The sequence below is a fragment of the Homo sapiens genome, chromosome 14, assembly GCF_000001405.40.
Source record: "Homo sapiens chromosome 14, GRCh38.p14 Primary Assembly".
Lineage (NCBI taxonomy): Eukaryota > Metazoa > Chordata > Mammalia > Primates > Hominidae > Homo > Homo sapiens.
In genome coordinates this window covers 87913195-87925353 of record NC_000014.9, presented here as the reverse complement: position 1 = coordinate 87925353, position 12159 = coordinate 87913195, and the positions used below count along the sequence as shown (strand labels likewise).

Sequence of the window (12159 nt, the reverse complement as noted above, 5' to 3'; positions counted from 1 at the left end):
ATACTTCAAATTTTGACCTTTTCCTGGGCTAGTGATATATGGTACAATACTCTCTCCTGACACTGGGCAGTGGCAGCAAGCAGTATCTCCTATCAGCCATGTGATCCTGAGGGTAAACAACAGATATTCTATAGTGTACTGTGTTGCCTGTGTTTTTTGAAATGATTTTGCCAGCTACAGGCTAATGCAACTATCCTTAGCATATTTAAGGTAGGCTAGGCTAAGCTATGATGTTCATTCAGTAGGTTAGGTGTATTAAATGCATTTTCAACTTGATATTTCAGCTTATGATGGATTTTTCTGAATATAGCCCCATGGTATGTAGAGGATCATCTGTGATTTGCACCACATATTCATCATCGTGCTTTAGACCCTGTTTCAGCTGTTAGCTTAATCTCAAGTAGCTTTGAAGTATTTGGATATAAAGAATGTCGTATACTTCTACATTCCCTGTGTTGCTGCACACATATTAATAGGTGATCATCAAGGACTTGATGTTTGATTAGACAGGCTGTACTGGTAGATGGCTACCAGTAACCGTGAATTGTATTAATTAAGTAGACTCATCAGAGCCTCTAAGTGAAATCACTTTGTAAGTGGCCAAAGTTACTTTACACACCAACAGCAACACCTGGAAAAGCACTATGGTAAAAGCACTGAACTTGAGTCCTAAGATCTAGGTTGAATGCCAGACCTGCTGCCTATTTATCTGACTTTGGTCGAATCACTGAAGCTGCTCTTTCTGTAAAACAAAGAAATTAGGCTGGATAATCACTGAGACACCTTCCAGCTCTTACTCTCTAATGCTGATTTAAACATTTGTATTTTTCAAATTTAATTCAAATATTTAACTAGGCTAGAGTTGCTTACCAGAAGAGGTTTTTTTTTTCTTAATAAGATTTGCTGCCTATTGTTTCCCACAATGAAAGATGACCAGACAGTGCCTTGTATGTTTACACCTTGGTCAAATGGCTTCATCAAATGAAATTATTTTGCAAATGGATTTAACTTCATTATATATATATATATTATATATATATATATATATATATATATATTATATATATATATATATATATATATATATATATATATATATATATATTATATATATATGCTTTATGGCAGATTCCATTCCTCTATACATGTAACCTGCTTAAAAAGGACCATCTTTTATTATCCTCACAGGTCTACTGGTATTATTTTAAACTATGGGGGCCGGGGGGTCGAAGCATTGTGATGTGATTTACACCACTCCAAATCACGAAGGCATGATTTAGAAATCATGGTGTTCTACAGTCTTTGCTCATAGGTAGATTTCTTCCTTATACTTGATTTTTCTTCTGTTTTGTTAGTATTTTACATTCACTTGAAAGAAAGCCTGGCTTTCTTGGTCAGGAGTATTATAGTTTGATCATATTATACTGAAAACAGCTCTTCTGTTTAAGTCCATAGATAATTTGAAATTGTTCTGAAGTGTTTCCTCCCACTCTTCCTCCCACTCCTCCTCCTCTGTCACCTCCTCCATCTCCTTCCTTCTCCAATAAAACTGAACTTGATGCTCCATAAAATTGATAATTGCTATTCAACTAGGAAAAATGCAAACACTTTGAGGGATTGTGAGTGATTGTTGGACAAGATATTTGAAGTGATTTTGTTCCACCAGGTTATTTATAGTTTTCACATTCACTAGGGGAGAAAAATATAGAATTAAGTGACTTGAAAATTATATTGAAGAGACAGTTTATTACTTTCTGCATCTGTTTAACAGATTGCACTGAGTAATGTTTTTGCATTGTGTGGTATATATTTAACAGGATGTGGGTAGTATTTAAGACCATATTAAAGATTTTATATGTGAGGTGGTCCCTTGTCCTTTGGAAATCAGCATAGGCTTTGGCATTTCTGATTTCATTACAATGCATTTACTACTATATTTGATAAACAGGCTGTCTGCCACTCAGAGACCCTACTAGACACACGGAGAGGATACAAGTTCCTTTAATGTAGGTAAATAATAACTTACTGATGCACAGATGGGACTTCAGTGTGGGGATCCCAGTGGCATCCCCCTAGGTAGCATTGGACAATTTCTGGCCCTGAAGGCTCACAAGGGTTCTTAGCTACTTATGATACTCTCTGATAGTGGTGGGAATACGATCAGGAATTTTGCAAATGGAAGGTGTCAAGGTGTCTCTCCTCACCTGCCTGTTTCTAATGACTCTGGAGACTAGGTATATGCTTGACTACTCCTTAGGTGGAGCTAGTAACAATCCCAGAATAATTTGAAAATTTACTGCAAGACTGAGTGAGTTGAAGGTCACTTTCTCAGGTGAAGCCCCTGCTATAGTTTGGGTATGGTTTATTTGTCTTCACCAAAGCTCATGTTGAAATTTGACCACAAGTGTGGCGGTGTTAGGAGGTGAGGCCTAGTGGGAGGTATTTGGGTCATAAGTAGGGGATCCATCAGGAATGGCTTGGTGCTGTTCTTGCAGTAGTGAGTGAGTTCTTGCTCATGTGAGACTGATTGGTTCCCAAGAAATGGATTCATTTGGGTTTTTATAAAGTCAGGATGCCCCTCAGGTTTGGTCTCTGTTCACATGTTCCCACTTCCCCTTGGACCTTCTCCACCGTCTTTTCACACATCATAAAAGCCCTTACTAGAAGCAGAGCAGATGACTGTGCCATGATTCTTGTACAGCCTGCAGAACCATGGGCCAAATCTCTTTTCTTTCTAAATTATCCAGCCTCACATATTCCTTTATAGTAACACAAAAGTGACTGAGAGTCTTCTTTCCCTCTTGTAGGTCCAGGCCACAGACCTTCAGGAAGTGTCTTTCCTCTTACATAGCTTGTGATTATCTTTGCAAATAATTAAGGTTTGCAAATAAAACTAAGATGATGCGATGGTTAATCTTGTGTCAACTTGCCTAAGCCACAGTACTCAGATATTTGGACAAATATCATTTTAGATGTTTCTGTGAAGGGGTCTTTTTAAGATGAATATTTAAATCAGTAGACTTTGGGTAAAGCAGATTACTCTTCATATTGTGGGTGGACCTCCTCCAATCAGTTGGAGGCTTTAATAGAAAAAGACTGACCTCTCTATGGAGGAATTCTGCAAGCAGTTTTTGGACTTGGACTGAAATTCGGTGTCCAGCCTGCTGGCCTACCCTGTAGATTTTGGATTTGCTACATGCATTAGTCTGTTTTTATGCTGCTAATAAAGACATACCCGAGACCAGGTAATTTATAAAGGAAAGAGGTTTAATTGACTCACAGTTCCACGTGGCTGGAAAGGCCTCACAATCATGGCAGAAGGCAAAGGTGAAGCAAGGTCATGTCTTACATGGCGGCAGGGAAGAGTGTGTGCAGGGGAACTCCTATTTATGAAACCGTCAGATCTCATGAGACTTATTCACTATCATGAGAACAGCATGGGAAATACCCACCCCCATGATTCTACTACCTTCCACTGGATCCCTCCCACGATGTGGGAATTATGGGAGCTACAGTTCAAGATGAGATCTCGGTGGGGACACAGCCAAACCATATCACTACGCCTCTACAATTCTATGAGCCAATTTCTTAAAGTAAATCTCTCTCTCTCTACACACACACACACACACACACACACACACACACACACACACACACCCTGTTGGTTCTGTTTTCTCTGGCAAACCCTGACTACTACAGATGCCTTCATCCTAGAACTCTGACTACTACAGATTCATCTCGAAATTCTTAAATGAAAGGTAAAATCTATTTGGAGCACTGCATTACATTTTATGATAAAAATATAACTATCTTAAAGCACAGGAATTTTTGGCTGTTTTTGTAGAAGGTAGAAGAATGCTTGGGAAATCTTCAATGATCATAAGTATTTGTTGAATGAATGTTGAATAAAAAACTTACAATTAGTCTAACTGTGATGATATTTTTTCCCTAGCAGTGTAAAAGGTGTAAAGATCCATTAATTTAGTTGTCTAAAGAAGATGTTTATGGCTTGCCAGGTTATAGTGATATTTAACTAAATTTTTAAAACAAATACTGACTTTTGAACATTTCTCTTTTGCATGTTTCCGTAGCATTTTACCTTCAACATATTTCTTTTTGAAATTGCTGCTCATTAGGGGAAAAGGACTTGACCCTTCCCATTTAAGGAGACTTGCTGGGAAAGACCAATTTATATGTCATTGACCACAACTTAGTAGAATTCTAGCCAGAAAGTCACATTGGAGGCTGAGAAATATGACTTTTCAGCTGGGCACATTAACACTTCAAATAAAACTGGGGCCCAGTTACTAAGGAGGGAGAGGAAAATGGATGTTGGGGTAGGCAACTAGCAGCCTCTGCCATAGGGTGCTATTTTTGTTAATGTTATTTAAAATCTCAATCAGTGGACAAGCATTTTGCCTAGTTGTTGTCAATATTAATATACTAAAGCTGGCAGACCTGAATCATTATTGCTTTTAGGGAACAAACAAAAACCACAGAATTTAAATTATTGAGAAGTGTGAGAGCTGGCAGAGATCTTAGAACTAATTGGGCACAGCTACTTCATTTTGCAGAGGAGAAACTAAAGCCCAGAGAGGTAAAGTGGCTGAAGGGGAAATGGAATGCCCTGGGAAGACTTCCTGAGAGCAGAAAGATGGTCTTCTTAGGCTGCATCTACACACTCGTAGGCCCTGTTATTTCAAGTTTAATTAAAGTTATCCAGCCCTTCAGTGCTGCATGGTTTCTGCCTATGAAACTTCACTGTACAAATACCTGCCATTTGGGAATTAGCATGCTCAAGTAAAAGTTTGCGAATTCTTGCTGTACCACTTAAACTATGTAGTTTTAGCAGTGAATGGATTGTTCCCATTCTTAGCATCTTGAAATAATAACAGTGGGAATTTATTGAGAATTAGTTTATAAGCTCCATGAAAGCAGGGATCAAGTTTGATTTCACACGCCACTGTATCTGTAGTGCCTAACATACCCCTTGATGCACAAGACATAATCCAACAAATAAATAGCTGTTGGTTGAGTAGATGTAGTGTTTATGAGGTGGCAGACATGGTGTTAAGCACTCTTCATGAGTCATTTCATCCTTGTAACAACCCTATGAGGTAGATAATATTTGAAACTAAAATTGGAAAACGTGCCCATAGATAAAAATCTAGTGAGTGTTGGGACTTGGGCTAGTCTGTCTGACTCCATCCTAAATTACTAGGGAAGCTGGAGGTTTTGGGGTTGATTATCATATGAAATAAATAAAACTACTCTTAGATTAATTATGAAGAATGTAAAAAGCCCGACTAGTTGATGTGTTATCTAGCACCAAAGATATGTTAATTAGCTTAACAAAAAATGGAAGAAAAAGATAGGAAAAGGCTGACCTGCTAGGTTAGTGAAAGATTCTTAAGTATTTTGGGGAGATGGGATAGGGTTGAGTGGAGAAGCATTATTCAATAAAGTTTTCACCCTATCTTGTTTGAGAGACTTTCTTTTGAGCCATGCATTAAATTTGAAAATGCTGTCCTGAAGTGTTATCAAATCTAGATCATGGATGAGAGACATTGAACCTTACTCCCAGGATCCCAGGATTTATTTCCATGGTTCTAAGTGTTTTTTTTTTAAAGGAAATGGTGACTGTGTAGAACAGAGAGCAGAGAGCTGCAGGGATTTCCTTTCTGTGGCTTCTGGGCCCTGACCTTGCTTTTCTATGTCTACTGGGAGAGAGCTTGTCTATTTCTGTGCACATGTTTTTGTTATTTGCTGTTGTTGTTCCTAAGGTATTTCTAATGTCATAAGCCTGTCTTTGGAGGTGATGATGGTGTGATCTTGTATCTTAGACCCCTACAGAGAGATCCAATTCCTTGTGTCTGGAATAGAATCCCCAAAGCAGGCCTGTGGGTCAGGCATAGCTTAGGGCCCTTGTCTTTGAATGGTGGGTGTGGGTGGAGACTACGTGGCCATATTCCTCTGAAGGCTTTGTTTTTACCCGTCCTGTTGTATTTCCAGAACCTAGTTCTTCTCAACTCTGGATGTATGTTAGAATAATCTGAGGAGGCTTAAAATCTTGATTCCTGGGTTCTGCCAAAGAGTCTGAGTTGATTAGTTTGGTGAGGGGTCAAGGCATTCATAATTTATTTTAGAAGCACCCCAGGTGAATCTAATTTTGTAGTCAAAGTTGGGTGCCATTCTTGTAGCCTAACAAGCCCCCTGTCCCAAAACCATGATTTTTATTTGCCTTTTTCTCCTGTTCTGTATCTTGTATCATCAAGCATTAGGGCTTTTGCTTCTGCTCGATGGCATTTCTAATTACCATTAAAGGCTGTGCATTAGATTGAAGTCAGGAGGACAGGTAAAGTAAAGTTTCTATGATGAGCACAGAGTGAGATGTATACAATAATTATTTGTCTTTTTAATTAAAAATCAATGAATAAACAAGGAAAGAAATAATAAAAATGAAACAAGTATGAACTAGAAAAGTTTTATAGATTTTCTGTAACCAGTAGATCCAAACGCAGATAATCTGTCAAGAAATAGAAAAATTAGGATAAATGAACGCTTTTCTTTAAAAAGGCTTTAATAAAAAAAGGTCTCAAAAAGAACTGAAAAAATGAATCTGACCAATTATTGCAGAAGAAATTGAGCCAGTTATCATAAAAAATCAGGCACAAACAGTTTCCAGTTGGATAATTTTAAATTATTAAGGATCAGATGGCTCTTAGGCAGTTTAAAAGTATTTCAGAACAGAGAAAGTGAACCTTCTGAATTATCTTTATGAAGCAAGCATAACATTAGTATAAAAGATGAGTGAGAGTGGCACTTAAAAACAATTTAGCTATGCAATGTAATCTTTTATGAGAATATTGATATGAAAATCCCAAATAAAGTACAAGCAAAAACAACCTAGCAATGAATAAAAGGATAGCACCACAGCCAAGTGAGGTTCATTTTAACAAATCAAAGATGGATCAGTCGTGGAAATCTGCTTGTGGAATTCTCCATGTTGATGGCTAAAAGAGGGAAGAAAGTGTTGATTACAACACGTGTGGCAAAGGCATTTGATAAAAGTCAATACATATACTAGATAAGCAGTAAAATAGTAACACATCATATTTGGGTAATTTCCATGAGTTATTTCCATTGTGCCTAATGGTGAAGCACTAGAACCATTTTTTAAAGTTAGAAAGAGAAGAGGATACTCACAGCAATAACCACTATTATCTACCATATGTAACAAGAGACTTAGAGCACCAAGTGAACAGTGCTTTCCATGTGCCCTGCAAATCGTTTAATCCTCCCCAAACCCTGCAAGAGAGATACTATTATTCCCATTTACTGATGAGAAAATAGCACAGAGAAGTAACTTGCCCAAACTCACACTACTCAGAAGTGGCAGAGCTCGGATTTGAGTCTGCCTACACTGCCCCTCTAGGAAGAAAATTAATGATGATAGGATACTTCAATAAATGAAGATCCGATGATAATTTTGAAAGGATGGCATTTTCTCTAAATTTACTTATGGATTAAATTATACTGCAATTATAATTCCAACAAGATGTTCTTAAAAAATGATTTTAAAGTTCTTCTAGATGAATAGATACTAAAGAATAGCCAGAAAAATTCTATAAAGAAGTATAATGAGAAAGGACTTAAAAGTTGTGGTAATGCAGTGAGCATGGAAATGGCCCAGGAATAAACCAAAAATGGAGGGTATAGAACAGGTGTCAACAGACTAAGGCTAGCAGAGGAGAAACTAAAGCCCAAAGAGGTACAGCCACAGTCAACATTTATATATGATCTATGGCGATTTTCTTGTTGCAACAGCAGAGTTAAGTAGTTGTGACAGAGATCATATGGCTGGCAAAACCAAAAATATTTACACTCTGGTCCTTTACAGAAAAAGTTTGCCAATCCCTAGCATAGAATAAAGTCCCAACTTAAGTGAATATAGAAGGCACTTAAAAATCAATCAGGGGGCTCCTGAGGCAAGATGGCTGGCTAGATGGAGCCAGGTGGAACAGCTGCCACAAAGGGAACTGGAAGACTGGTGCGCTCCTAACATCTTCAGAGGGAAGGCACTGAGAGTGGATCCAGAGAAGACACAGAAACCGGCTGAAGCGGGAGGGAGCTGGGAACCCTGCTTGGGTCTACTGCACAAGGGGAGGGACTGGTTCCTGGCCCTCGATGACTCAGGGAGAATGGGTGAGTTGAACTGGTAAGGAGCAACTTACCCTTGCCACAGGCTTCTGGAATCCTAGCATGAAGAGACCTCTCGATTGCCACGGACACTTGAGTTGGCAAGGAGAGCTACTCAGAGAAGTGGTAGGGGCAGCACTCCAGCCAGTGAAGAGCCCAGAGGGTTTGGTATGGAAGCCTCTGTAGTAGAGCACAGCAAGCTGATGCCCATCGCCTAGGCTCCACTTGTTCCCATAGTTGACTTTAGCTCTAGGGGAACTGTGGGACCTGAACTCTGCAGGGCAGTGTTGCCCATCAGATGGGGCTGCTCCGACCTGAGCAACCCTTGGTCTGCTGGCTTCTCCCGGGGGCCCCAGCCTGGCTGCGTCTGCTTGCAGTGCAGCCTCAGGTGCCCTGGGGGTCTGAATCTCAGCACCTGCACTGGCAGACAGCGCCTGACGAGACCTCCAGCAGGGCGGCCCCTGGGACCAGCATCAGCCCGCCTGCTCCTTCCTCCACTGCAGCTCACCCAGCCCAGGACCACCCGCCACACCTCTTTGCTGGCGCTCGTGTGCCCCGGCGGATCTTACCTTCCCTCCCTACCCCACCAGTGTGCGTGTTTGAGTGCACCCTGCCCTGTCACTGCTGCCAGAGTGAGTGCCTCCGCTCCCCCATCCCCGCCTCCTTTCTCCCGCTGTACCTCCATTGCCCTCTGAGCCTTGGCAGGCACACAACCCTCCAGCCCCGCCTCTGCCAGCGCCTCATCCCTGCACCAACACTGCCCTCGGAGTGAAACTAGGGATGGATAACAGCAGACCCTCTCCTGCCCTGTGCGGCCGCCTTCACCTGCGTGAACATACAGGGCACCCACTGTCTTGCGCCCCGCCAGCGCCCCAGCCCCGTGCTACCACCACCACCAGTGCAACTGTGTGCACAGTCACCGGCAGGGACCCCATCCCCGGAGTCGTGCTGTCTCCATCGCTGCTGTGAATGCCTACATAGAGGCTGGCACCCTGGCACCTGCTAGCACCCTGTTGCAGTCCATGAGCGTGTGCTCTGCTGGGCTGCTGCTGCCTGCTACTGGCACATGCAAACGAGGATGGATGTGGCTGCTACCGTCCTAGGAAAAGCTTTGGCTGGCATCATCCATCAGAGGGCTGGGACCAGCAGTCAGGGAGCGCTTCAGCACCTCCCCCTACCCCCCAACACACACCAGTGCGGTAGGGTCCTAACCTCCAGGAGCCAGAGAACAAAGTTGAAGCCCATTATTGGTTTCCCAGAGTTAGAGAGTGCAGTACAGGAGTTATGAGCTGAGCCTTGGCTCCCTAAAATATTCCAGAAATGAAGCCAGTCAACTGAACCCACCTATACCACAATCAAACCCTCAAGGTCATCAAATAGGATAAAAGAAAAAATAAACCCATTGAAAGGACAGCAACTTCAAAAATGGAAGCAACATCAGCCCACAACAATGAGAAAGAACCAGTGCAAGGACTCTGACAATTCAAAAAGCCAGAGTATCTTCTTTCCTCCAAAAAACTGTGCTAGTTCTCCAGGAAGGGTTCTGAACTGAGCTGAGATGGTTGAAATGACAGAAATAGAATTCAGAATACGTATAAGAATGAAAAGCATCCAGATGCAGGAGTACACTGAAATCCAATCCACCAAAACTAAGAATCACAACAAAATGATACAGGGGCTGACAGACAAAATAGTCACTATAGTAAAGGATGTAACTGACCTGATGGAGCTGAAAAACACACTACAAGAATTTCATAATGCAATCACAAGTATTAATAGCAGAATAGACCAAGTTGAGGAAAGAATCTCAGAGCTTGAATACTGGCTTTCTGAAATAAGATAATCAGACAAGAATAGAGAAAAAAGAATGAAAAGGAATGAACAAAACCTCTGAGAAACGTGGAATTATGTATAGACACCAAATCTATGACTCACTGGAGTCACTGAAAGAGATGGGGAGAATGTAAGAAACTTGGAAAATGTATTTTAGCGTATCATCCGTGAGAATTTCCCCAACCTAGCTAGAGAGGCCAACATTCAAATTCAGGAAATTCAGAGAACCCCAGTAAGATACTTCACAACAAGATCATCCTCAAGTCACATAATCATCAGATCCTTCAAGGTCAAAATGAAAGAAAAACATTAAAGGCAGCTCGAGAGAAAAGTCAGCTCACCTATAAAGCAAAGCCCATCAGACTAACAGTGGACCTGTCAGGAGAAACCATACAAGCTGGAAGAGATTGGGGGCCAATATTCAGCATTCTTAAAGAAATGAAATTCCAACCAATAATTTAATATCCAGCCAAACTAAGACTCATATGCAAAGGATAAATAAGATCCTTTTCATACAAGCAAATACTGAGGGAATTCATTACCACCAGACCTGCCTTATAAGAGCTCTTGATGGAAGCACTAAATATAGAAATACTATTATCAGTCACTATAAAAACACACTTAAATACACAGACCAGTGACACTATAAAGCAACCACACAAGCCAGCATAATAGCCAGCTATCAATGCAATGACAGGATCAAGTCCCCACATATCAATTCTAACTTTGAATGTTAATGGGCTCAGTGCCCCACTTAAAAGGCACAGAGTGGCAAGCTGGATAAAAAAGCAAGACTCAGTGGTATGCTGTCTTCAAGAGACCCATCTCACATGTAATGATATGCATAGGTTCAAAATAAAGGGATGGACAAAGATCTACCAAGCAAATGGAAAACAGAAAAAAGCAGGGGTTGTAATCCTCATTTCAGACAAAACAGACTTCAAACCAACAAAAATAAAAAAAGACAAAGAAGGGCATTACATAATGGTAAAGGGTTCAATTCAGCAAGAAGACCTAACTATCTTAAATATATATGCACTCAACACCAGAGCACACAGATTCATAAAGCAAGTTCTTAGAGACCTTCAAAGAGACTTAGACTCCTACACAATAATAGTGGGAGGCTCCAACACTCCACTGACAGAATTAGACAGATCATCAAGGCAGAACATTAACAAAGACATTCAGGACCTGAACTCAACACTGGTTTATGGACCTGATGGACATTTATAGAACCCTCTATCCCCAAACAAGAAAATATACATTTTTCTCATTGCCACATGGCACATACTATAAAATTTACTGCACAGACATAAAATAATCCTCAGCAACTGCAAAAGAGCTGATATTATACCAACCACCCTCTCAGAGCAAAGCACAATAAAATTAGAAATCAAGACTAAGAAAATCCCTCAAAACCATATAATTACATAAAAATTAAATAACCTGCCCCTGAATGACTTTTGGGTAAATAATGAAATTAAGGCAGAAATCAAGAAATTCTTTGAAACTAATAAGAACAAAAATACAGCATACCAGAATCCCTGGGACACAGCTAAGGCAGTGTTAAGACGGACATTTATAGCACTAAATGCCTACATCAAAAAGTTGGCAAAATCTCTATTTAATAACCTAACATCACAACTAAAAGAACTAGAGAACCAAGAGTAAACCAGGCCCAAAGCTAGCAGAACACAAGAAATAACCAAAACCAGAGCTGAATTGAAGGAGACAGAGACATGAAAAATCATTTAAAAGATCAACAATTCAAGGTGTTGGTTTTTTTTTAAAAAATTAATAAAATACACCACTAACTAGACTAATAAGGAAGAAAAGGGAGAAGGTCCAAATAAACACAATTAGAAACAACACAGGGGATATTACCACTGACCCCAAAGAAATACAAATAACCATCAGAATATTATGAACACCTCTATACACATAAACCAGAAGATCTAGAAGAAATGGATAAATTTCTGCACACATACATCTTTACAAGACTGAACTGGGAAGAAATTGAATCCCTGAACAGACCAGGAACAAGCTCTGAAATTAAATCAGTAATAAACAGCCTGCCAACCAAAAACAGCCCAGGACCAGAGAGATTCAAAGTCAAATTCTACCAGA

The 12159-nt window shown here is 40.3% G+C and overlaps 1 annotated feature.

The window, feature by feature from the left end:
* Window positions 8415-8709: a silencer, noted in NCBI's record as "tiled region #1922; K562 Repressive non-DNase unmatched - State 24:Quies". NCBI's record gives its function as "represses a minimal TATA promoter and a strong SV40 promoter by Sharpr-MPRA in K562 cells {active_cell/tissue: K562}" and the evidence as "EXISTENCE:reporter gene assay evidence [ECO:0000049][PMID:27701403]".